Source organism: Homo sapiens, chromosome 11 (assembly GCF_000001405.40).
Source record: "Homo sapiens chromosome 11, GRCh38.p14 Primary Assembly".
In the NCBI taxonomy this organism is placed as follows: Eukaryota; Metazoa; Chordata; class Mammalia; order Primates; family Hominidae; genus Homo; species Homo sapiens.
Window position 1 is genome coordinate 58,746,298 of NC_000011.10, and position 26,022 is coordinate 58,772,319.

At 38.3% G+C, this 26,022-nt stretch overlaps 1 pseudogene, besides 3 other annotated features; it reads right to left on the minus strand.

Annotated features, from left to right (window-relative positions):
- LOC100420019 (glycine-N-acyltransferase pseudogene) lies at positions 2,700 to 12,360 on the minus strand (annotated as a pseudogene).
- Positions 18,156 to 18,356: a silencer, noted in NCBI's record as "peak1282 fragment used in MPRA reporter construct". NCBI's record gives its function as "represses an SCP1 promoter by STARR-seq MPRAs in K562 erythroleukemia cells {active_cell/tissue: K562}" and the evidence as "EXISTENCE:reporter gene assay evidence [ECO:0000049][PMID:32103011]".
- Positions 24,559 to 24,853: an enhancer, noted in NCBI's record as "tiled region #12556; K562 Activating DNase matched - State 5:Enh". NCBI's record gives its function as "activates a minimal TATA promoter and a strong SV40 promoter by Sharpr-MPRA in K562 cells {active_cell/tissue: K562}" and the evidence as "EXISTENCE:reporter gene assay evidence [ECO:0000049][PMID:27701403]".
- Positions 24,559 to 24,853: a silencer, noted in NCBI's record as "tiled region #12556; HepG2 Repressive non-DNase unmatched - State 24:Quies". NCBI's record gives its function as "weakly represses a minimal TATA promoter and a strong SV40 promoter by Sharpr-MPRA in HepG2 cells {active_cell/tissue: HepG2}" and the evidence as "EXISTENCE:reporter gene assay evidence [ECO:0000049][PMID:27701403]".

A 26,022-nucleotide genomic window follows, 5' to 3' on the forward strand; every position in this document is an offset into this window, starting at 1 on the left:
ATTGTAAGTTTTCTGAAGCCTCCTCAGCCATGTGGAACTATGAGTCAATTAAATCTCCTTTGTTTATAAATTACCCAGTCTTGAGTACAATCTTCATAGCAGTGTGTGAAAATGAACTAATAGATCATATAATCATTCCATTAGCAGAGGAAATTGATTTAAAAGTACAAGATAGACAGCAGCTACAGACCTGAAGGAAAAGAAATCCCAATACACATAGAATTGTAATTCCTAGTTTAAGTAGACTCTCTCTATCCAGGTTTGTTATGGGACACTTCCTGGAACCAAGCAGCTTCTTGTCTAATTTTATCTAGATGGGTCTCAACTTCTGCAGAAGTATTAATGTAAACACAGCATGATGTATTAGCCATAACACAAATACTTCCTTGTTCAGCCAGGGTATAGTCTAGAGCAATTCAATTATCTAGTACTGCTCAAGCCAAAGAATCTATCACTCTCTGTTGAGCCACTATGACCAATGCAGTCACATTGGCAAACCTTCTTAGGGTGATGGAAAGGTTCCTAATCATATGTTCATGCATGGCAAGTCCCCACAAGATAATTCACCACAGGACAAGATAATTCACCCAATGAAATATCCTACACCATATGGTAGGCTGCCTGATAAATATTTATCTTGGAAAAGACCTAATATCAATCTTTTTGTTCTAGCAAAAACTTCTAAAAAGCTGGTTCTTTGCCAGGCATCACTAGAGTTATGGACACAGAAATGAGCAACTAAACGCCCAAGAAAACAAGTACTTCCTATGCACCAGCTGTCTATGCATTTATAGGTTCATGGTTGGCCATTTGCCCCACAGACAAAGGTGTATCCTAAAGGTGGACCCAGAACACTGGATATGTTTTTAAATTTAGGTTTTCTGACTCCAGGATTACAGAACATATACAGCTGGTAGATGATAAATTGGTACAAGACTATTTTGAATCCGATTTGTAAATTATAATCTGAAAATCTTATAGCTTAGTTTGAATTTGTTGACTGCTCCTCTCACGGATACACTATATAATAATCTTCACTTCATATTGCACCTGTCCTGATGTTTTATAACAAATATTTTAAGTAACATTTTTGGAATGTTTAACATGTGCCAGGCATTGCTCTAAGTTTTTATTTATATTTTCTCATTCATTTGATCCTTTCAATAAATAATACTTCATTTTGTACATAAAGAAGCTATGAGCACAGTGATGTTAAATAATTTGCCCAACTTTATAGTTGATAAAAGGAAGATCTGGGATCTTCATCCAGGGAGTTTAGCTCCATCCTAATCACTGTAATATGCTGCCCCATGCCCTCAGTGTTTATATCATATTACTGGTATGTTTTATTTTTATATTAATAGGTGATCACTAGAATGTAAGCCCTGCAAGCGATCTATATTTTGTTCAGTATGTATCCAAAATGCCCAGAACAGTGCTTGGCAATCAGTTAATATTTATTGCTGTTATTGAAACAAGCAAATTGTTGAGAATTTGGTACATGTGTTTGATATTGCCAGCATGCAGAAAGGACATAAAAATGTCATGTCAATAAGCAGAATAATCATGGCTCATTTCAATGTCACTACTTCCAGTCCCTAGAATTTTCCTCAAGAAAATAAATTTTAAAAAAGAAATAACAGAGGATTGAATAAAAAGAAAGAAAAGAAACATTATTATACATAATAATATTTTATTGCATAATTCAAAATAGCTAGAAGAGAGGCATTGTAATGTTCCCAACACAAAGAAAAGATGAATGTTTGAAGTGATGGATATCCGAATTATTGTCATTTGATGATTTCACATTGTATACATTTACCAAATATCACATGTGCCCCCAAAATATATACATTAAATAAAGGTTGTATAAGTGGGCTACATTAGTCTAATTGAATACTTGTCACTAATGATACATATGTATCTCTCTCTCTTCCCACTATCCCATCTCCATGGCCTCTAACTGATGGACACTCAATCTTAACTTCCACAATCAAACATAAGATTTCTTTATAGTAAGGTGATCATGGGGATGAAATTTCACCCAACTTTAGAAAGGTAATACCAGTCTCACTTTCCTGGGGTGGCAGTGAGAAAAAGTCCTACCAACAGCTAGTCTTTCTCTTAATAACTTCCCCAGGTGTCATATACATCTAATGTCACATATTTTTCATACATGTTAATGTGATTATTAAGCAGATCAAAGGGCTAGCCATAAAATAATCACTTCAAAATACCTCTGAGAGACAAAGGACACACTCTGGCTACTAAATGAAGAGGTCATAGAAAAACAGGGAAAAATTATACTACCCAAAAGATAATACCATATCTCATCAAAACTGGCAAAATCTACCCATTATCAACAATCCACATGTAAGACATGAGTTCCAAGAGAGGCACCAGGGCAGCATGCAGCTGAATAAAAAGTGTCACGGAGATCTAGAGGTATAGGAAATTGAACAAAATCAGAGACCACTACAGGAAGATTTGGCCATACCATGTCTGCTAGATTGGAAGGAGAATTCAAGTGCAGGGACCAAGGAAGACCTATTGACCATTCACACTGCTTCCCCAGAGCCCAAATATCATCCACTCCTTTCCTGTTTATTAAAATTCATCCTTTCTCTCTGTCCACCATACACTCCTCCACTCGCATGCACATTCCACACAACACTGTCTTATGTTCAGGGCTAGCTTCACAGAGAAACACAGTTTCATTGGTTCTGGTCACAGGGCATGAGAATATGATGCAGAGCATGACTTACACCCTGTACACATTTGTTGGCTCTGTCTGCATGGTAATATAGGGGGAAGCCAAGTTTGTCCAGAATCTGGAACTGGGACCAGATAAGATAGGACATGAGGCCCTGGCCCCGGGACTCAGGCATGATGGCTGCCATCCACAGCTCTCCAGTATGGTCCATTACAAACCAGGACACCGTGGTCCTTTCAGGCCCCAGCAGACAGCAGAATGGGAGGTTCTGAATACAGCACTCAATGAATCTCTGGTTCCTCTCATTGCCACCAAAATGCCAGAATTTATTCATCAAGGAAGCATGGGTGGTTTTCAGAGATGAGAGTTTAAACATCTCTTGGTTACTATTGATAGAAGGGGAAAAGAAAAGCCCAAAATATCACACATACTGTGATGGATATTTGTATTCCCTTAAATTGTCTTGAAAGGCAAATAGGAACACAGATAAGGGTATAGTCTCTGCAGCCAGACTGCCTGGGTTCATAATATGACTGTCTGTGTGATCTTGAACAGGTAACTTAGAATCTCTCTGCCACCATTTCTTCTGACATAACATGGATATATTAATAACAACTCCATAGAGGTCTATTTCAAGATGGCCGAATAGGAATATCTCCAGTCTGCAGCTCCCAGTGTGATCAACACAGAAGATGGGTGATTTTGGCATTTCCAACTGAAGTACCTGGTTCATCTCATTAGGGCTGGTTGGACAATGGGTACAGCCCACAGAGGGCAAACTGAAGCTGGGGAGGGCATCGTCTCACCCTGGAAGCACAAGGTTTCAGGGGATTTCCCTTTCCTAGCCAAGGGAAGCCATGACAGACTCTACCTGAAAAAATGGGACACTTCTGCCCAAATACTGCACTTTTCCCACTGTCTTAGCAACTGTCAGATTCTCTCCTGTGCCTGGCTTAGCAGGTCCCACACCCATGGTGCCTTGTTCACTGCTAGCACAGCAGTCTGAGATCAACCAATGAGGCTGAAGCCTGGTGGGGAGAGGGGTGTCTGCCATTGCTGAGTCTTGAGTAGATAAAGTGGCCAAGAAGCTCAAACTGGGCAGAGCCCACCACAGCTCAGCAAGGCCTACTGCCTCTATAGACACCACCTCTGTGGGTAGGGCATAGCTGAAAAACAGGCAACAGAAACTTGTGCAGACTTAAACATCCCTGTCTGACAGCTCTGAAGAGAGCAATGGTTCTCCCAGCATGGAGTTTGAGCTCTGAGAATGGACGGATGGCCTCCTCAAGTGGGTCCCTGACCCCCATATAGCCTAACTGGGAGACATCTCTCAGTAGGGGCCGACAGACACCTCATACAGGCAAGTGCCCCTCTGGGACAAATCTTCCTGAGGAAGGACCAGGCAGCAATATTTGTTGTTCTGTAATATTTGCTGTTCTGCAGCCTCCACTGGTGATACCCAGGCAAACAGAGCACAGAGTGGACATCCAGCAAACTCCAACAGACCTGCAGCTGAGGGACCTGACTGTTAGAAGGAAAACTAACACACAGAAAGGAAAAGCATGAACATCAACAGAAAGGACATCCATCCAAAAACCCCATCTGTAACAGTTCACCAACATCAAAGACCAAAGGTAGATAAAACCACAAAGACGGGGAGAAATCAGAGCAGAAAAGCTGAAAATTCTAAAAACCAGGGCTCCTCTTCTCCTCCAAAGGATCAAAGCTCCTCACCAGCAACAGAAAAAAGCTGGATGGAGAATGACTTTGATGAGTTGACAGAAGTAAGCTTCAGAAGGTCGGTAATAACAAACTTCTCCAAGCTAAAGGGTCATGTTCTAACCCATCACAAGGAAGCTAAAAGCTTTGAAAAAAGGTTAGGTGAATGGCTAAGTGGAATAAACAGTGTAGAGAAGACCTCAAATGACCATATGGAGCTGAAAACCGTGGCACGAGAACTTCGTGATGCATGCACAAGCTTCAATAGCTGTTTTGATCAAGTGGAAGAAAGAATATCAGTGATTGAAGATCAAATTAATGAAATAAAGCAAGAAGACAAGTTTAGAGAAAAAAGTGAAAAAAAAAATGAACAAAGCTTCCAAAAATATGGGACTATGTGAAAGACCAAATCTACGTTTAATTGGTGTACCTGAAAGTGACAAGGAGAATGGAACCAAGTTTGAAAACACTCTTCAGGATATGATCCAGGAGAACTTCCCCAACCTAGCAAGGCAGGCCAACATTCAAATTCAGGAAATACAGAGAACACCACAAAGATACTCCTTGAGAAGAGCAACCCCAAGGCACATAATTGTCAGATTCACCAAGGTTGAAATGAAGGAAAAAATGTTAAGGCCAGCCAGAGAGAAAGGTCAGGTTACCCACAAAGGGAAGCCCATCAGACTAACAGTGGATCTCTCACCAGAAACCTTACTAGCCAGAAGAGAGTGGGAGCCAATATTCAACATTCTTAAAGAAAATAATTTTTAGCCCAGAATTGCATATCCAGCCAAAGTGAGCTTCATAAGTGAAGGAGGAATAAAATCCTTTACAGACAAGCAAATGCTGAGAGGTTTTGTCACCACCAGGCCTGCCCTAAAAGAGCTCCTGAAGGAAGCACTAAACATGGAAAGGAACAACCGGGACCAGCCACTGCAAAAACATGCCAAATTGTAAAGACCATCAATGCTATGAAGAAACTGCATCAATTGATGACAAAATAACCAGCTAACCTCATAATGACAGGATCAAATTCACACATAACAATATTAACCTTAAATGTAAATGGGCTAAACGCCCCAATTAAAAGATACAGACTGGCAAATTGGATAGAGTCAAGACCCATCAGTGTGCTGTATTCAGGAGACACAGCTCATGTGCAGAGACACACATAGGTTCAAAATAAAGGGATGGAGGAAGATCTACCAAGCAAATGGAAAGCAAAAAAAAAGCAGAGGTTGCAATCCTAGTCTCTGATAAAACAGACTTTAAACCAACAAAGATCAAAAGAGAAAAAGAAGGCCATTACATAATGGTAAAGGGATCAATTCAACAAGAAGAGCTAACTATCATGTATATGTATATATACATACACTCACAAATATGTGTATATATATATACACATACATATATACATATATACATATACACATATATATGTATGTATATGTATACATATACATACATATATACATATATATACACATATATGATAGCTCTTCTTGTTGTACATATATATACATATATACACACACACACACACACACACACACATATATATATATATATATATATATATACCGAATATGGGAACACTCAGATTCATAAAGCAAGTCCTTAGAAACATACAAAGAGATTTAGACTCCCACGCAATAATAATGGGAGACTTTAACACCCCACTGTCAATATTAGACAGATCAATGAAACAGAAAGTTAACATGGATATCCAGGATTTGAACTCAGCTCTGCACCATGTGGACCTAATAGACCTCTACAGAACTCTCCACCCCAAATCAAGAGAATATACATTCTTCTCAGCACCACGTCACACATATTCTAAAATAGACCACATAATTGGAAATAAAACACTCCTCAGCAAATGTAAAAGAACAGAAATCACAACAAACTGTCTCTCAGACCACAGTGCAATCAAATTAGAACTCATGATTAAGAAACTGACCCAAAACCAGACAACTACATGGAAACTGAGCGACCTGCTCCTGAATGACTCCTGGGTAAATAACAAAATGAAGGCAAAAATAAAGATGTTATTTGAAACCAATGAGAACAAAGACACAACATACCAATCTCTGGGACACATTTAAAGCAGTGTGTAGAAGGAAATTTATAGCACTAAATGCCCACAAGAGAAAGCAGGAAAGATCTAAAATAGACACCTAACATCACAATTAAAAGAACTAGAGAAGCAAGAGCAAACAAATTCAAATCTAGCAGAAGGCAAGAAATAACTAAGATCAGAGCATAACTGAAGGAGATAGAGACACAAAAAAACCCTTTAAAAAATCAATGAATCCAGGAGCTGGTGTATTGAAAATATCAACAAAATTGATAGACCACTAGCAAGACCAATAAAGAGAGAGAAGAATCAAATAGACACAATAAAAAATGACAACGTGGATATCACCACTGATCCCACAGAAATACAAACTACCATCAAAGAATACTATAAACACCTCTATGCAAATAAACTAGAAAATCTAGAAGAGATGGATAAATTCCTGGACACATACACCCTCCCAAGACTAAACCAGGAAGAAGTTGAATGTCTGAATAGACCCATAACAGGCTCTGAAATTGAGGCAATAATTTATAGTCTACCAACCAAAAAAGCTGAGGACCAGACAGATTCACAGCTAAATTCTACCAGAAGTACAAAGAGGAGCTGGTACTATTCCTTCTGAAACTATTCCAATCAATAGAAAAAGAGGTACTCCTCCCTAACACATTTTATGAGGCCGGCATCATCCTGACACCAAAGCCTCGCTGAGATACAACAAAAAACGAGAATTTTAGACCAATATCCCTGATGATCATTGATGCAAAAATCCTCAATAAAATACTGGCAAACCTAATCCAGCAGCACATAAAAAAGCTTATCCACCATGATCAAGTTGGCTTCATCCCTGGGATGCAAGTCTGGTTCAACATATGCAAATAAATAAGCATAGTCCATCACATAAACAGAACCAATGACAAAAACCACATGATTATCTCAATGGATGCAGAAAAGGACTTTGACAAAATTTAACAGCGCTTCATGCTGAAAACTCTCAATAAAATAGGTATTGATAGAATGTATCTCAAAATAATCAGAGCTATTTATGACAAACCCACAGCTAATATTATACTGAATGGGCAAAAAGTTGAAACATTCCCTTTGAAAGCCGGCACAACACAAGGATGCCCTCTCTCACCACTCCTATCCAACATAATGTTGGAAGTTCCTGCCAGGGCAATCAGGCAATATAAAGAAATAAAGGATATTCAATTAAGAAAAGAGGAATCAAGTTGCCCCTGTTTGTAGATGACATAATTGTATATTTAGAAAACCCCATCATCTCAGCCCAAAATCTCCTTAGGCTGATAAGCAACTTCAGCAAAGTCTCAGGATACAAAATCAATATACAAAAATCACAAGCATTCCTATACACCAATAACAGGCAAACAGAGAGCCAAATCATGAGTGAACACCGATTCACAATTGCTACAAAGAGAATAAAATACCTAGGAATCCAACTTACAAGGGATGTGAAGGACCTCTTCAAGGAGAACTACAAATCGCTGCTCAACAAAATAAAAGAGGACACAAAGAAATGGAAGAACATTCCATGCTCATGGATAGAAAGAATTAATATCATGAAAATGACCATACTGCCCAACATAATGTATATATTCAATGCCATCCACATCAAGCTACCAAGGACTTTCTTCACAGAATTGGAAAAAAACTGCTTAAAAGTTCATATGGAACCAAAATAGAGCCCACATACCCAAGACAATCCTAAGCAAAAAGAACAAAGCTGGAGGCATCATGCTACCTGACTTCAAACTATACTACAAGGCTACAGTAACCGAAACAGCATGGTACTGGTACTGAAACAGATATATAGACAATGGAACAGAACAGAGGCTTCAGAAATAACACCACACATATACAACCAACTGATCTTTGAAAAACCTGATGAACACAAGAAATGGGGAAAAGATTCTCTATTTGATAAATGGTGCTGGGAAAACTGGCTAGCCATATGTAGAAAGCTGAAACTGGATCCCTTCCTTACATCTTATACAAAAATTAATTCAACATGGATTAAAGACTTAAATGGCAGACTTAAAACCATAAAAACCCTAGAAAAAAACCTAGGCAATACCATTCAGTACATAGGCATGGGCAAGGACTTCATGACTAAAACCCCAAAAGCAATGGCAACAAAAGCCAAAATAGACAAATGGGATTGAATTAAACTAAAGAGCTTCTGCATGGCAAAAGAAACTACCCTCAGAGTGAACAGGCAACCTACAGAATGGGAGAAAATTTTTGCAACCTACTCATCTGACAAAGGGCTAATATCCAGAATCTACAAAGAACTTAAACAAATTTACAAGAAAAAAACAAACAACCCCATCAAAAAGTGAGCAAAGGATATGAACAGACACTTCTCAAAAGAAGACATTTATGCAGCCAACAGACACATGAAAAAATGCTCATCACCACTGGTCATCAGAGAAATGCAAATCAAAACCACAAGGAGATACCATCTCATGCTAATTAGAATGGCTGTCCTTAAAAAGTCAGAAAACAACAGATGCTGGAGAGGATGCGGAGAAATAGTAATGCTTTTACGCTGTTGGTGGGAGTATAAATTAGTTCAACCACTGCAGAAGACAGTGTGGTGATTCCTCAAGGATCTAGAACTAGAAATACCATTTGACCCAGCAATCCCATTACTGGGTATATACCCAAAGGATTATAAATCATGCTGCTATAAAGACACATGCACATGTGTGTTTATTGTGGCACTATTCACAATAGCAAAGACTTGGAACCAACCCAAATGTCCATCAATATTAGGCTGGATTAAGAAAATGTGGCACATAGACACCATGGAATACTATGCAGCCATAAAAAAGGATGATTTCATGTCCTTTGTAGGGACACAGATGAGGCTGGAAACCGTCATTCTCAGCAAACTATCACAAGGACAGAAAATCAAACACCGCATGTTCTCACTCATAGGTGGGAATTGAACGATGAGAAGACTTGGACACAGGGCGGGGAACATCACACACCAGGGCTTGTCATGGGGTGGGAGGCTTGGGGAGGCATAGCATTAGGAGAAATACCTAATGTAAATGATGAGTTGATGGGTGCAGCAAACAAACATGGCACATGTATACCTATGTAACAAACCAGCACATTGTGTACATGTACCCTATAACTTAAAGTATCATAATAAAAAAACTCCATCAAAGACAGACATGGATATTATAAGAACTACTGCATGACAAGGAGCTATAACAGTGCCATAAAAATTAAAATTTTATAAAAGTTAAATATTGTTCTTCTTGATGTTTCTGTGGCCTGCTGTGTAAGATGGGACAGATGATATCAGCCCCATTTTATAGATGAAAAAAATGGGTAAACAGAAAATAAATGATTCCTCAAAGTACATGCTAATAGGCAGTAAAGCCAGAGCTTAGAATCATGAAATCTTAGAATGTTGGTGTCAGAGCATCCTTGGCCACTGTGTTAAACAAATGGGAAAGCTGAAGTATAGAGAGAGGCAACGATATGGAATGCAGATGACCCGTGTTAAAGAGGACTGAAGTCTGAAGGCTCCTGAAGTGGTGTAAAGGGGATTGGGAGTAGGATTGGGAGTCTTTCTGAAAAGAGCCCAAACTGTGGAACTGGATCTAGACTCAGGCCCCAGTTACACCCTTAATCAAGTATGTGGTTATCAAACCACTTCATCATCAGAGTCTGCTTTCTGTCAGGAAATGGAGAGAATGTCTCCTATCCTATCTATCTCATAGGATGGACAAGAGGATACAGTGATTCTGGATGTAGAGGTGCTTTTCGGGCTGTAAGGTGCTTTACAAAGTGAATAAAGCTCTTCCAGGCACATTAACACACAGAGGACCATGAGATTAATCATCTCTAAATGAAATCTTTGTCAGCAATTTGAAATTCTACTAAGTATTTGACTATAAATCAATGGGGAAAATATAGAATTGGTTTACATTATTTTTACTAAAAACACTTTTTGTTAAAATGAATGTATTAAGTGCATACTTATTAGGCACATACTATGTGTGAGGCACGGTTCTGGCTATGAGGATCTATCGGTAAACAGTATAGAGAGGATCTCTGCTCTCATGGGACTTGAAATATTGTGGAGGAGAATTTACACAACACACAGGTAGATAAATACACAAGTAAGCTGATTTCAGTAATTATAAGTGCAATAAAGAAAATAAAAATTGGGTTTTATAATGGCGAATTATGGGAGGGGTAGTTTTAGATAGGGTGCTCTGAAAAGAAGTGTCAAAGGAAATGATATTTTTATGAAAGGCAAAGAGAAAAGAAGATCAGAGGGAATAATTTTATAGGCAGATGAAAAACAAATCCAATGGCTCAAAGGTATGTGTGAGTGCATGAGAATCAAGTAGTAGAAAGAAGGTTCAAGCTGCTGGTGAGCATGAGCAATAAGGACAAGATGAAGTTCAAGAGGTGATGGGTGCAGTTCTTGTGGGGCCTTCAAGACCCATAATGGAGTTTGGATTTTATTCAAAGTGAGCTGAGAAACATTGGTGGCTTATAAGCAAGTGAATGACATAATCTACAATACATACTAAAGGAATCACCCTGGAAATGGAATTTAGGAAGGCAAGAGTGAACACAGGAAGAGAATCTTGGAGGCTACTTTAGTAGAAAAAGATGTGAGTAGTGCAGAGCATCTTTTGTTAAACTTACATGGCCTTAAGTATTCCAGATTTATAACATAAGTTCTTTGTCTCTAGCAGAAAGGGAACCAGTTTCTTTGCTGTCTCAGGCATTTCATAAAGCTGGCATTGTGATCTTTTGACTTTGACCAATTTAGCAGCTACAAGACTTTGTATTACCTCATTCAGTCTGGACTGTGAGCCTAGACAGGAGTGAAGTAAATGCCCATTTAGAAGCTACAGGAAGTTGCCTGATGGAAGTAGATGGAATTTAGAGTGAGACAGTCTTGCTTTGGATGTTGCCACTAACTGTGTGACTATAAGCAAGTGACTCCCTGAGCAAATTTTCTTTTAGGCCAGAGATAGTACTAGAAACCCTGACTGTATCGTTGTGAAATCAAAGGAAAAGTAGTATTTTTTAAAGAAAAAACAGTTGCCCACCTTGATTGTGCCCATACTACATGCCCAGGTACTGATCTAATACTTTTATTCCTTACATTGACCCTATGCATTAGGGTCTTTTACTATCCTCATGTTTATATGTGAGGAAACTGAGTAATAGTTAAGACACTTGCAAAGGATCACAAATGAAGTAAGAAGAAGAGCAAGGATGCCACCCTGGGGAGTCTGACTCTAGGAGGTATGCTCATAACTGTAACCATCGTCATCCTTGCTGACCTGGGAGGTGCTGTGTGACACAATGAGCTATGGTCCTTACTCCAGCACTGGAAGACCAGAGAAGAAGCTCAGCTCTCACATCTAATCTCCCTAAAAGATTCTGAATGTGTCTGCAAACTGTATCATGAGTCCTCAGCTAACAAGAAATTATATTACTAATAGTTCCTTATATCAACCCCAAAGTTTGCAATATTTGAATCCTGCTCTACTGAAGAGGTGGTGGCAGCTGATAAAAGGAATGAACATCAAGCTAAGAGTTTGGAGATTGGTAGAAGAAAGTAAAGTTTGTAAGAGAATTCTCTCCAGACGAAAGTGAACCTGCAATGTAGACACAGGTAGTCCCAGAAACCAGAATATATCTTAGTCATCTTACTTTGGATCTGCAAATGTTGTTTCCAGTTGATGATACCTGACATGTCAAGGCATTCTTGACAGTTCTCGGGATCTTTAGAATAGATATGGTAGCTGTTGGTGTAGTGATCAAAGTCATCTGTCATCTCCTGTTTGGGCAACATGGAATAAATCAAATTGCTTATACCAAATTGCTTATACCAAGTGATTGCAATATTTGTATTCAGTATTTTATTATACTTTGCTATTTGCAAACTTAAATATCAATTTTTGATGTGCAATCATTATTTCTGAATTATGTATGTCATGAAACTAAGTTGGGAGATCGATTATTCAACTTATGTGGAAAAAAATCCTGCTGAGTCAAATATTTATAAGTTGGATTACAATTTTAGGTCAACTAAATGTGCACTGGCTTACAAAACGTTCTCTAATTCTGTAATCTTCAGGACAAAGAAAAGTATTATTGTCAAAGTCATGCTTCTGTTGCAAGAATAAATTTTGCTCTATTTCAAAGTGTTTCAGAACAAATGTATTATTAATGTGACAATATCAAAATTTTCATCTATATGTGATAAAGCTATACAAAAATGAATACACATGATGTCTTTAAAACGTAGACTATGATGCACTATTGTTAAAAAAAATTACATATCCAACAAAATCAAAACATAAAATTTGTTCAAAAAGGTCTTCTCAAAGTTAACAAATATAAGGTAGGATGATTTGAAGATGAAAGAAGACCCAGAGGACAACTACCCAGATAGGGTAGAATAGTGGAAAAATTTTGCACAGATAGGCACTCACGACTCAGCAAGAATACCAGTAACAATTTGTGTTTGTTAAGATCTAATATTATTCCATTTCTAGATTTTAATAATTAATTTGAAATATTTCATTTTTATATTGTTTTATTTGGTGATTTTTTAAAAAATAAATTTTATATATATTTAAGGTATATAACATGATATGGGACATATGTGGATAGTAAAATGGTTATTATAGTGAAGTAAATTAATATATCCATCATCTCACATAGTTAACTTTTGTTCTGTTTTGTTTTTGCGGCAAGAGCAGCTAAAATCTAGTCATTGAGCAGGAATCCCAAATACAGCACAATTTTATTATGTATAGTCTTCATTAGACTTCTAGACGTATTTATCCTACATATCTGATACTATGTATCCTTTGACCCAGATTTCTCACATTTCTTCTCCCCTCCCCTACCCCTGGTAACCACTGTGTTATTCTCTATCTCTGTATATTTGACATTTTTTAAAAAAAGATTTTACATATAAGTGATATCACACACTATTTTTCTTTCTGTGTCTGGCTTATTTCACTTAGCATAATGTTCCCCGGTTTCATTTATATTGTGGCAAATGGTAACATCTCTCTTTTTAAGGCTGAAATAATATTCTATTTTTTTATACATATACCACAGTTTCTTTATCCATTCATCCATTGATGGATACTCAGATTGTTTCCATATCGTGGCTATTTTTAATAATGCTGCAATAAATATGGGAGTGCAGATATCATTTCTAAGTAATGATTTCATTTTCTTTGCATATATATCCAGAAGAGGGATTGTTGGGTCATGTGGTATTTCTGTTTCTACTTTCTTTAGAAACTTCCATACTGTCTTACATAATGACTGCCCCACATACATTTGTTCCAACAAAGCTTCCATTTTCTTCACGCTCTCATTAAACTGTATCTTTGACTTTTTGATAATAGCCACCCTAATAGCTATGAAGTAGTATCTCATAGTAGGGTTAATTTTCATTGCTTTGAAGATTAATAATGTTGTGTACCTTTTCATATACTTCTTGGCAATTTTTATGTCTTCTTTGGAGAAATGTCTGTTCAGGTCCTTTTTATATTTCTTGTTTGCTTTTTTTTTTACTACTAAGTTGTAAGATCATATGAGTACTTCATAACTTTTGGATATTAACCCCATATTAGATTTATAATTTGCAAATATTTTTCCCAATTCATAGGCTGCGGTCTCATTTTGATGATTGTTGCAAATGCTGTGCAGATTTTCAGTTCAATATAGTCCCATTTAGTTAAATTTTGCTTTTGTAGCCTAAACTTTTGGTGTGATATTCAAAATATCCTTGCCAAAGCCAATGTCCAGGAGGTTTTCTCCTGTGTTCTTTTCTAATAATTTTATAGTTTCAGGTATTAAATTTATATATTTAATTCATTTGAGTTGATTTCTGTATATGGTGTAAGATAAGCATCCAATTTTGTTCTTTGGGGTGTGAAAATCCAGAGTTCTCTCAATGCCATTCATTGAAGAGACTATTTTTTTTCTCTTTGTGTCCTCTTAGTATCCTTGTCAAAAATTTGTTGACAGTATATGTTTGGAATTCAGAATAGGTGCTCAGTGAATGCTTGTTCTCTTTCCCACATTTTTAATAGGTAGTTATTAGTCCTTTGTTCCCTAAAATTGTTCCACTCTCATCTTTAGGGATTCAGGGAGGCACTTCCTCATGGATTTCTCTAGCATCTGCAGTACATGGGGACTCTGCAAATGGAACATCTTGGCAGGTACCTTAACTAAACAGAGGATCAAAAAACATCAAGGAATGAGAAGAGCTGGAAGATACACAGGCACAATAGGCAGTTCTAGTGAATGGCCTGGCCTCCATTCCTACTATTTTATTGGTGCCCTATTCACTAAACTTCTCACAAACTCCAAGAAAAAATAAGACTGGTGGAAAGTACAGGTACCTCTTTCATAAATTATTTTAATATCATTTTTAAAACTTTTAAAAATACTTACAAAATGTTTATATTGCCCAGAATTCCAATAATCAAGGGTGTACTGAGATTAACAAATACATTCTCTATGCACAAGCATCTTTTGAATTAGGTTTCCATCCAAGACAAGTCTGACTGTGCCACTTAGAAGCTGTATGACATTGAGCAATTACTTACTTCCTCAGTGCCTTGGTTTCCTCATCTATAAATGGCAATGACTTTAGTATCTGTTGCATAGAGTAGTTGAGACAATTAAATAAATCAAGACCTACAAGGTGCTTGGAATAGCATCTGGGACATAGTAAGCATCCCATGAGTGATTATGATTATTAATACTCTTTATATTATTGTCATTGGGAAAAGCAGCAGCTAACCCACACCCAAAAAGTCTATTGGGTGACTTTTCTTCTGCACAACAATTTGTTGTAGATTTGAAACAAACTGAAAAATATTAAGTAAGAGTAATCTTTGCAATCTGGCATGTGGTAAAGGAGCTAATGTTTCAAGTATTCAGTAGAATGCCTGGCTTGAGTAGTACTCAATATGTGTCAGCTGTTTTAATTATTGTTAGCATTATCCCTTAAATAAATCATATATTTTATTGCTACTAGACTCCCATCCTGCAAAAAAGAAAAACAAAAAAACTTTTCTGATGAGTCCTTATATAGAAGACATTAAAATGATGTAACGCAAAATTTTCAAATTTGATTATGTGTTAGAACAATCTGAGGATTAAAATATGTGTATTTGTGTGTGTGTGTGTATATATATATACACACACACATATATGTATATATTTACATATATTTTATAGTTTACATGAATATATATATGTGTGTATATATATATATACACACACACATATATATATGTATATATTTTAACCCTGCTTCTACTATTCTTTATTTAGAAGACTTGGTGAGAGGGTATGCAGTCTATAAATCTGTATTCTAAAAAAGCTCTGCAATTTTTTGTGTTATTGTTCAGATTTTTGAGTCATAATTTAGATACAATAAAATTCACTAATTTTAAGTGGATAATTTTATGCAATTTGATAAATGCATATATTTGTGTAACTAGCACCAAAATTATCATATAGACCATTTCCAACGCTCCAAAAACTGTGTGTCCCTTTGTAATCAATCCCCTTTTCTGACATCCAGCCCCGTCTGACTTAGGGCTCACAGACGTCCTCCTTGTTTACTTATGACAAGACCAGGCACAGAAGCTCCAAAATCCCAATTTTGCTTCATAAATGATTAGCTGAACTGCTTATCGCCACTGACAAATGAGAAGTTAAGAAATGTTAACTAAGTTTTGTTTAATTTGGTCAATTTTCTCTTCTTCCCCAAGGCCAAGTCAGCATAGAACACTTCCTTAAGAGCCCCTACCAAGAATAGATTGAACTCAGGATAAAATATTCATCCCACATCCTCACATGGTGTTCTCCGTAGCCCTGTTTATTCCTCCCTTATAAATGATTAACTAAATTGTTCATCTTCACTGATCCATAAGAACAAAGTGCTTGTTAACCAACTTGACCAAACTTTAGTTAACCTTCTGTCCTCCCTATGGGACCCTGAACTTTGACCCACCCTCAGCCAGAGCCAGAGCCAACAATAGCATGCAGAAAGAGCCTCCTTACTCCAAACAAAAGACACTCCATAGACCTTGCTTACTCTTCACCATATAAGAACAGTTCTTTTCTTCCTGACCTTTTAGATGTTTGATCTTATGGTCTGAGTTCTCCCTATTGAAATTGTCTCCCTCTTCCTATCGCAGAAGTCTTTTTCTCCCCTCTTGCAACACTCCTTTAAATAAAATTTCTCCTTACCTAAATCTGAAGTTGTTTTTATTTAAAAATACTTTGGTATAGCTTTGTTATAAGTTAAATTGACCTTTGTGACAAACCTGGAAACCTGAGTATCAATCTATTTACTCATGCAATCATATAATAAGTCTTGACTGAGAACTTACTGTGGTGACTTTGTAAGATGTCACCTTGCCAAGACTGAAAAACATTTCCTGAAATTCTCTTCCCTGCACACTTCCAGTTAGGGTGGGCCACAGGAGAGATTTTTATGGGAGATTTGGAGGGCAAAATTGAAGAAGCAGCCATTTTTTTTATAACTCACTTCTTGACATCAAGCAGTGACTGGGCTGGTAGGTGCTTTGGCCAATTTCTCCTGTTCGGAATGGCTGTACCCCCATTGTATCTACAAAGTAACTAGCTTGCTTTTGATTTTACAAGCTCCCATAGGCAGAAGGGACCTGCCTTGCTTCAGATAAAACTCTGGACTGTGGACTTTTGAATTAAGGCTGAAATGAGTTAAGACTTTGGGGGACTGTTAGGAAGGCATGATTGGTTTTGAAATGTGAGGACATGAGATTTTAAAGGGGCTAGGGATGGAACAATATGGTTTGGCTGTGTCCCCACCCAAATCTCATCTTGAATTGTAACTTCCATAATTACCATGTGTTGTGGGAGAGATCCAGAGGGAGACAATTGAATCATGAGGGCGGTTCCCTCCATATTGTTCTCCTGGTAGTGAATAAATCTCACAAGATCTGATGGTTTTAAAAGGGAAACCTCTTTCACTTGGCTCTCTTATTCTCTCTTGTCTGCCACCATGTAAGACATGCCTTTTGGCTGTGAGTGGTGGCTCACACCTGTTATCCCAGCACTTTGGGAGGCTGAGGTGGGCGGACCACAAGGTCAGGAGATCGAGACCATCCTGGCTAACACAGTGAAACTCCGTCTCTACTAAAAAAAAATTTAAAAAAACTAGCCGGGCGTGGTGGCAAGCACCTGTAGTCCCAACTACTAAGGAAGCTGAGGCAGGAGAATGGCGTGAACCCGGGAGGCGGAGCTTGCAAGTGAGCCAAGATCGTGCCACTGCACTCCAGCCTGGGCAACAGAGTGAGACTCCATCTCAAAAAACAAAAACAAAAACAAAAGACATGCCTTTCACCTTCTGCCATGATTGTGAGGCCTCCCCAACCAAATGGAATTGTGAGTCCACTAAACCTCTTTTTAAAAATAAATTACCCAGTCCTGTGCATGTCTTTAGAATAGAGTAACACAACTGGTTAAGTCTTTGTATTAGGAACTATGGGAAGATGTGTTCTTGTTAGATTCAGATGGTGATTCAATTCAAATTTGGGATTTGCAAAATCCTGCCTATCAGAAAAAAAGTCACTGTTGTCCCAATTCATTTATCTCTTTGCTACTTTCTGCTTTTCTGATCATTTGTTTAAATCATGCCCCATTTATCTTAAGTGTCCATTGACTTAGCTTATCAACTAACTTGGCTGACTTCTCTGCTGACTTTTGCTTCCCAACTGCAAAGTCACTGTGTTCAGGGACTTTTTTCCTATATTTTGACCCTTTAGGAAAACTGGTCCTTCAGGATAATTAAATAGAATCTGTAATTGCAGAAATAGTACTAGTATTAGTTTGCATCTATTGCCCCCAGATACCAAAGATACCACTATGTTTTTGATCCTGCTATTTTAACATGATGGGGAAGGCTTGGATTAATGAATGCTGTAATTTTTTTCATGCATCTTCCCCTTTGTCCAGGTTTTTTATCTGTCATTTAAGGGCAACAACAGACCTTTCACTTAACCTTGAGTTATCTTTGTGATTTTAGGGGAGGAGAGTCTTTCCTGGAACCACTGAGGCACTGGTTGTATTTTGATTGTAGTTGCTGGAGGGGGGAAGAAGCCTAGATTGGTAGGATTCACTTAGTTTCTACAAATGATTTTTTTTTAACAATAAACGTTTGGTCTATCAGCCTCATCTGTCATCTCTCTCTTCCACACAAGATCACAGAACATTTCTTTAACTCAGTATTTGCCTTGGCATTTCTGGCTTTTGTTCATCATACTTATGCCCTACTTCTACACTACTTTCAAAATCCAGTTTTTACTCCTTTGCCAAAGTCTTTCTCAAATGTCAGTATTTCTGCAACTGACTCCCTTTGTGATTTTTCGATCCAAGCAGAATTAATCATTCTCTTTTCTGCTCTGCCCTAGAATTGTGTACATATTGCAATCACAAAACCTGTTACAATGGATTACAGTTTGCCTTCTAGGCTGTGAATTCCTCTAGACAAAGCATTAAACTATTTATTCTTTCATTCTTAATGTTTACCACAGTCTGATACACATTAAGAACTCAATAAATATCTGTTTAATAATTGAGTACATGAAGTATTTTTATTAACATAACCATTTATTTAGTCATTCCACTTATTGATTGCAAGGATTCATTAATTCATTCATTAAGGAAGTGATGGTCCCAATGTTTGTATTCCTCCAAAATTTGTATGTTGAAATTTTAACCCCCAAGGGTTTGGTATTACAAGGTGAAGCATTTGGGGATTAGGTCGTGAGGCTGCCTGTTCTATCATGGGAAGACACAGAAAGACCTAGTTTATGGTATTTTGTTATAGCAGCCCAAATGGACTAAGACAAAGTACCTATTGAAGGCCAATTATATGTTGAGCATGGAAATTTGTACCAGATGTTCCTTTGAAAAAAGGCTCAGACAAAAATATAGACAGCCATGTCAAGTCTCAGCCTCAAAATAGCATATATATAACATTTCTGAAGGCATATTTGGCACCTCAGCTAGACACATCTCAGAAGATTAATGAAAATAAGAAAAGTAAGAGTTTAATGTCACACCAACATCTATTGTTTTTTTTTTTTGACTTTTTAATTATAGATGTGGTGAAAAGGGAACACGTTTACACTGCTGGTGGGAATGTAAATTAGTACAACCACTATGGAAAACAGTATGGAGATTCCTTAAAGAACTAAAAGTAGACCTACCATTCAATCCAGCAAACCTACTACTGGTTATCTACCCAAAGCAAAAGAAGTCATTATATGAAAAGGACATTGCACATGCATATTTATAGCAGCACAATTCACAAGTGAAAGGATATGGAACCATCCTAACTGCCCATCAACCAACAAGTGGACACAGAAAATGTGGTATATATACACCATGAAATATTACTCAGCCATAAAAAAGAATGAAATAATGTCTTTTGCAGAAACTTGGATAGAACTGGAGGCCATTATTTTAAGTGAAGTAACTTAAGAATGGAAAACCAAATACCGTATGTTCTCACTTATAAGTGGTAGTTAATCTATGAGGAAGCAAAAACATACAGAGCAATATATTGGACTATGGGGACTTGTGGGAGAGGTTGGGAAGGCAGTGAGAAATACTGGTGGTGCACACTGGGTGTAGTGTACACTGTTCAGGTGATGGGTGCATGAAAATCTCAGAGTTCGCTACTAAAAAACTCATTCATGTAACCAAAAACCACATGTACTCCAAAAACTACTGAAATAAAAAAAATAATAAAAATATAGGAAATGAAACAAAAAAATAGTTTAATGCCCAATTACTGGGAATATAATAGTAGTATATTGCCAAGTACATTTGGTACAACCTTCTGCATATGTACACGCACAGACTGAAAACACAAATGTGATGTTCAACAAATGCAGTTGATTATAAAATGAGGAGGTTGAAAAAAGCTGGCACACTTTGGGGGATTGCAAACACTGGCAATGGACAAAGTCTTATAGAGGGCATTTTGAAACCTTCAACACAGCCATTCCAGTACTTGGAGTTTATGCAAAAAAAAAAATTTGCTGAAGAAACATGCTTTATAAAAAATTTTGTAAAGCAGTATTAACTATGGGTAAATATTGAACACAATTGCAATGTCTCTCTACAAAGATAATTTACCTAAATAATGATCTATAATTATTTTACTACATTAAACTCATTAATGTGAAAACTATGATATTATATTGACATATGAGAGAGTATTAAAATGAATATAAAAAAGGTCAGAGAAGATAAGACATAAATTTTAATTAGATACGTAGTCGTTTGTATGTCCCTTTATATATATTATATATATAAAGCAAAACTTTAGAAGGAAATACTAAATAATTTTCTGGTCTGTTACAATATTCTAAAATCTGTAATATAGATTAGATTCTTAAAATTATATTGTTATGGTTTTAAATTTATCATTAATTTTCTTTGTATTCTAGTCCCTATACTACAATCTGTGTACTCCCTTTGTGACTTTATGCAGGATACTTAATTTCCCTAAATATCAGTTTTCCAAGGAAAAATCTAACTACCTTAAAAATTTAGCAGAGGACAATGTAAAAGTTCCATAGTATGTGTACATCTTGAATTGAGCAAATGTCACCTAAACCAGTATACTCCTTTCCAAGGGCAGTCACCCACCTACCAATGGCAAGCTCCCAAGTCTCTTCACATTTATTTATCAATTCAAAGCAAAACCGGGCTGTATTCAGTCAAAAATTTCTCACAGGTCTAGCATACTTCCCTGTATACAGTAGGTGTCTGATACAGGTTTTTCAAAAGCTTCCTTTTCTCCCAGTATAATTCTCAGCCTAAACGGGAATTCTTTAATAAATTCTTATTTACTGATGAGAATTCATGAATGCAAAGAAGGGAACAACAGATGCTGGGGCCTACTTGAGGATGGAGGGTGGGAAGAGGGAGAGAAACAGAAAAAAATGGTTATTGAGTACCAGGGTAATTACCTGCGTATGAAATAATCTGTACAACAAACACCCATGACACAAGTTTACCTATATAGCAAACCTGCACATGTACACCCAAACCTAAAATAAAAGTTTTTTAAAAGGAATTTTTATTTACATCCAACAGGAGTACTTTGATTTATTCTACTTCAGTGGGAGAGCAAAAGGAGATGAGGAGTCCCAGAGCAATAAGTCTCCTTTTTTCTCACCTATCAAGCTCTCTTCTCATGCACCCTCTGCAGAGGTCAAAGGAAAGAAAAGGGTCAGCAGACTATTCCAGAAGATGAAATGTACACTCTGAGTATAGTGGTCTTAAAGTATTTGCTTTGATTTGTTTTCTGCAGAGACTACTGAGCTCATGTTTTTAAGAGAACACATACACCAAGCTCAGAAAACTTCTGGCAGCTGAATGTGAGATTAAGCACCTCCCTCTGTGTCCCACATTCTGGGAGATGGCTCTGTAACATCAACAGCTTGGCAAGGTGCGTTTTGAGGCTCTTTGTCCGGAAGGCTGAACTGCTTTCTACTTCCAAAGGTCCTAACTTTAATCAGAAACTCTGAGCTGTGAAACCAACAGGTCAAGAGCTGGGCTGTGGATGGGTCTCTAAGGCAATATCAATTTTCTTCCCTCTGCTTTTATAGGTACCTGCAGCAGAAGCAAAAATCAGCTATTGTTAAGATTTGATGTTTAGAACTGCAACTCTTTTCTTAAACATTGGTTAAGTATCTATTTAGAGAGACTAAAAAATTGAGGATTCTAAACCTTTAGAATAAACTCAATGAACTCCAGGCAGAAATAAACAAAAAGAGGGTGTGCAGCCTAGGAGTTCCAAGCCAGGATCTACGGACAGCATTCAAGTGGAAGAGGAGTCCATACCTTCAGAGCACTAAGTGGGAGCATGGCTGCAAGCATGAGGAAGTACAGAGGAGACACCAGGCTAACAGCCTATCTACCAGCCATTACACTTAAGCACCATCTGCTAGATTACAGCCCAAACTAGAATACCAAATATACTTTGCTAATATACCCCTCTGTGAAACCAAGGTCAAGAATTCAGCCTCAAATAAGACCCTGCACAAAGCCTTAGCCTGCTGAAAACATTCAAAATTGAAACCAACTGATTACACTCAAATTATGCCACAGGTAAAGGAACTTTAGCCCACAAAAATGAGAAAAAAATCAGTGCAAGAACTCTGGCAACTCTAAAAGCCAGAGTTCCTTTTTACTTTTAAATGATGACACTAGATCCCCATCAATGATTCTTAAGCAGAATAAAATAAATGGCTGACTCCAGGCACGGTGGCTCATGACTGTAATCCCAGCATTTTGGGAGGCTGAAGTGGATAGATTGCTTAAGACTAGGAGTTCAAGACCAGCCTGGCCAATATGACAAAACTCCTCTCTACAAAAAATACAAAAATTAGCCAGGTATGTTGTCATATGCCTGTAATCCCAGCTTTTTGGGAGGCTGAGGCACAAGAATTGCTTGAACCCAGGAGGCAAAGGTTGCAGTGAGTTGAGATTGCACCATTGCACCTGACAGAGCAAGACTCTGAAATGGTTAGGCTTTCTGTCCCCACCCAAATCTTATCTTGAATTGTAATCTCCATAATCCCAGTAATCCCCACGTGTCAAGGGAGGGACAAGGTGGAGGTAATTGATTCATGGGGGTGGTTTCCCCCACACTGTTCTCGTGATAGTAAGTGAGTTCTCATTAGTTCTGATGGTTTTATAAAGGACTCCTGCCCCTTCACTCAGCATTTTTCCTTCCTGCTACCTTGTGAAGAAGGTGCCTTGCTTCCCCTTCACCTCCCACCATGATTGCAAGTTTCCTGACACCTCCCAAGTGATGCTGAACTGTGAGTCAATTAAACCTCTTTCTTTTATAAATTACCAATTCTCAGGCAGTTCTTTATAGCAGTATGAAAATGGACTAATACACTCTGTCTCAAAAAAAATGAAAGAAAGAAATGGCTAAAATCACACACATAGAATTTACAATCTACATGGCAATGAAGATCATTGAGATTCAGGAGAAAGTTGAAACCTGATCCAAGGAATCTAAGGAATCCAGTAAAAGAATTCAAGAAATAAAAAATAAAATAGGCATTTTAAGAGAAAAACAATTGATCTGATAGAGCTGAAAAACACTACAAGAATTTCATAATATAATTGGAAGTATTAATAGCAGAATTGACCAAGCTGAGGAAAGAATCTCAGAGCTCAAAGTGAAGAAAGAACTAATGAAATCAATTATAACCTAATAGTAGTAGTAATAGAAATTTTAAAATCCTCTGAAAGTTGCTGCAAAGTGTGACCCCCCACCTTACACTCAAGTTAAAAGGGATTATTAAAAGCCTGTCTTCTCTCTGTGGATAGTGGACCTTATCTATGCTCCCCAACTCCACATTCCTCAAAGTTTATTACAGGCCCAGTGAGTTCCTGCATGATTGCAGGGTCACAAGACTGATAAGTTTAGGTTGCAAGTCATGTCTTTCTCAAAATGTAAGAAACAGTGCAACGCCACTTTTGTTTCTTGCTTCTGTAACTCGCTTCTTACCTCACATAATTCCTGCCTTAAAATGTTTAAAAGTAGGAAAAGCCCTTTGTTTGGGGCTCAGACTTTCTGGACATATGTCCAGCTGGGCCAGTGATGACCTTAATAGACTCTCCTGAACCTTTTTTGGTCTCTCCAGTCTTTGATTGTCCTGTAACATTTCTGGGGGCTTATCCGGGATTGGAGATGGCAGATTTTCTGTCTTCTTTGCCTGTGGGCTAGAGCCCCAGGATGTGGGAGATCTGGGGTCCTTGGCACCGCTGGGAGAGTTTCAGCCTGGAAGGAGAATGGCCCTCCCGCATTCCAGAGCCTTCCCCTGACAGCACCAAAGGAACCAGTGGAAAGGGTTGCAGGACAGTCACAGGAGCAGTGCACAGACATCTGAACCATGGTAAGGTTTGGGCCCTAAGGCAAGACCTATCCCAAAAGGATGAAAGGGGAGCCTGATCACCTCCCAGGGCGTGATGACTAGTCTGACCCACGAGGGTTGGGAACAACAGGAGAGGCCTGTTGACTCAGACGAATCTCACACCCTAACTGACACCAGATGTGGGTGGGGCTCGTGAGTCAGTCAAAAAGGAAAACTGGTTTGGGACGGGGGAGGTATGTGAAAGTGTGTGAAAGAGATGGTCTTGGGAGAGACCAATGCAGGGCATGATGTGGGGAGGGACAGATCTCTTAGTGCGGACTGTGTGCTCCAAAGCAATTGTGGGAAAAACCAGACCTAGGATACTGCATAAAGCCCATAAGACCAACTCCAGGGCTGCAGCTAACTGTGACAGGAATTAAGGCACACTCCTGGCTAAGCAGTGTCTGAACCTCTCGCAACAGGACCCAGTCTGGTGGATGCAAGAGTGAAAGTGAGAGTGAAAGCGTGCCATGAGGGAGGAAACGGGAGGAAAAGCATCAAAGCCTACTCCACTGGAGTGCATGCTGAAAAACTTTTAAAAAGGTTTTAATGGTGATTATGGGGTTAAGCTAACTCCACAAAAACTGAGAACCCTTTGTGAGATAGACTGGCCATCTTTTAATGTAGGGTGGCCCCACCTGAAGAGTTAGAAAGTCCACCCCCTTATGCACCAATTTATTCATCCCTGGCAAGGCTTAGACAGGAGGCTGCTCTGGCTGCCTCCGGAGGCTCAGACTCAGAAGAAAGCACTCCTCAGGCAATACCATGCAGAGAGGACCCAGAGCCAAAAAGCCAAGGGAGGAATTCCAGGGGGATGAGGTCAGCCACCTTAGCTCAGGCCATGCCTGAGCAATGCAGACGCCCCTCCAAGAAACATGGGGACAAATTTATTTGAATGCACAGAATGAAGTCGAAGGGGGAGAATGGCTCTTCTTTTATCAGCCCTTCTCTACTACTGATCTCTTAAATTGGAGGCAACATACTCCTTCCTATGCAGAGAAGCCTCAGGCTCTTATAGATCTAATGCAGTCCATTTTCCTAACTCACAATCCTACCTGGGCTGATTGCAAAGAACTTCTTCTGTCATTGTTTAATACAGAAGAGCACCATAGAGTTATACAAGCTGCTCTCCAGTGGCTGGAGGACAATGAGCCTGCAGGCACAGGAGATATCAGGCACTATGCACAACAAGCACTCCCAATAGAGGCTAACCCAGGCTGGGACCTTAACCAAGCTCAAGGGCTACAAAGTTTGCAGCAGTATTGAGAGGTACTCCTACATGGAATAAAGGCTGGAGGGAAAAAGGCCACCAATATCAGAAATGTCTCAAGAGGTCTGCCAGAAGTCAGATGAAAGTCCCAGTGAATTTTGTGAGAGGCTCTGCAAGGCTTACCAGCTTTATATGCCATTTGACCCTGAGGCTGCTGAAAAACAGTGCCTGGTAAATAGGGCATTTGTAGGTCAGG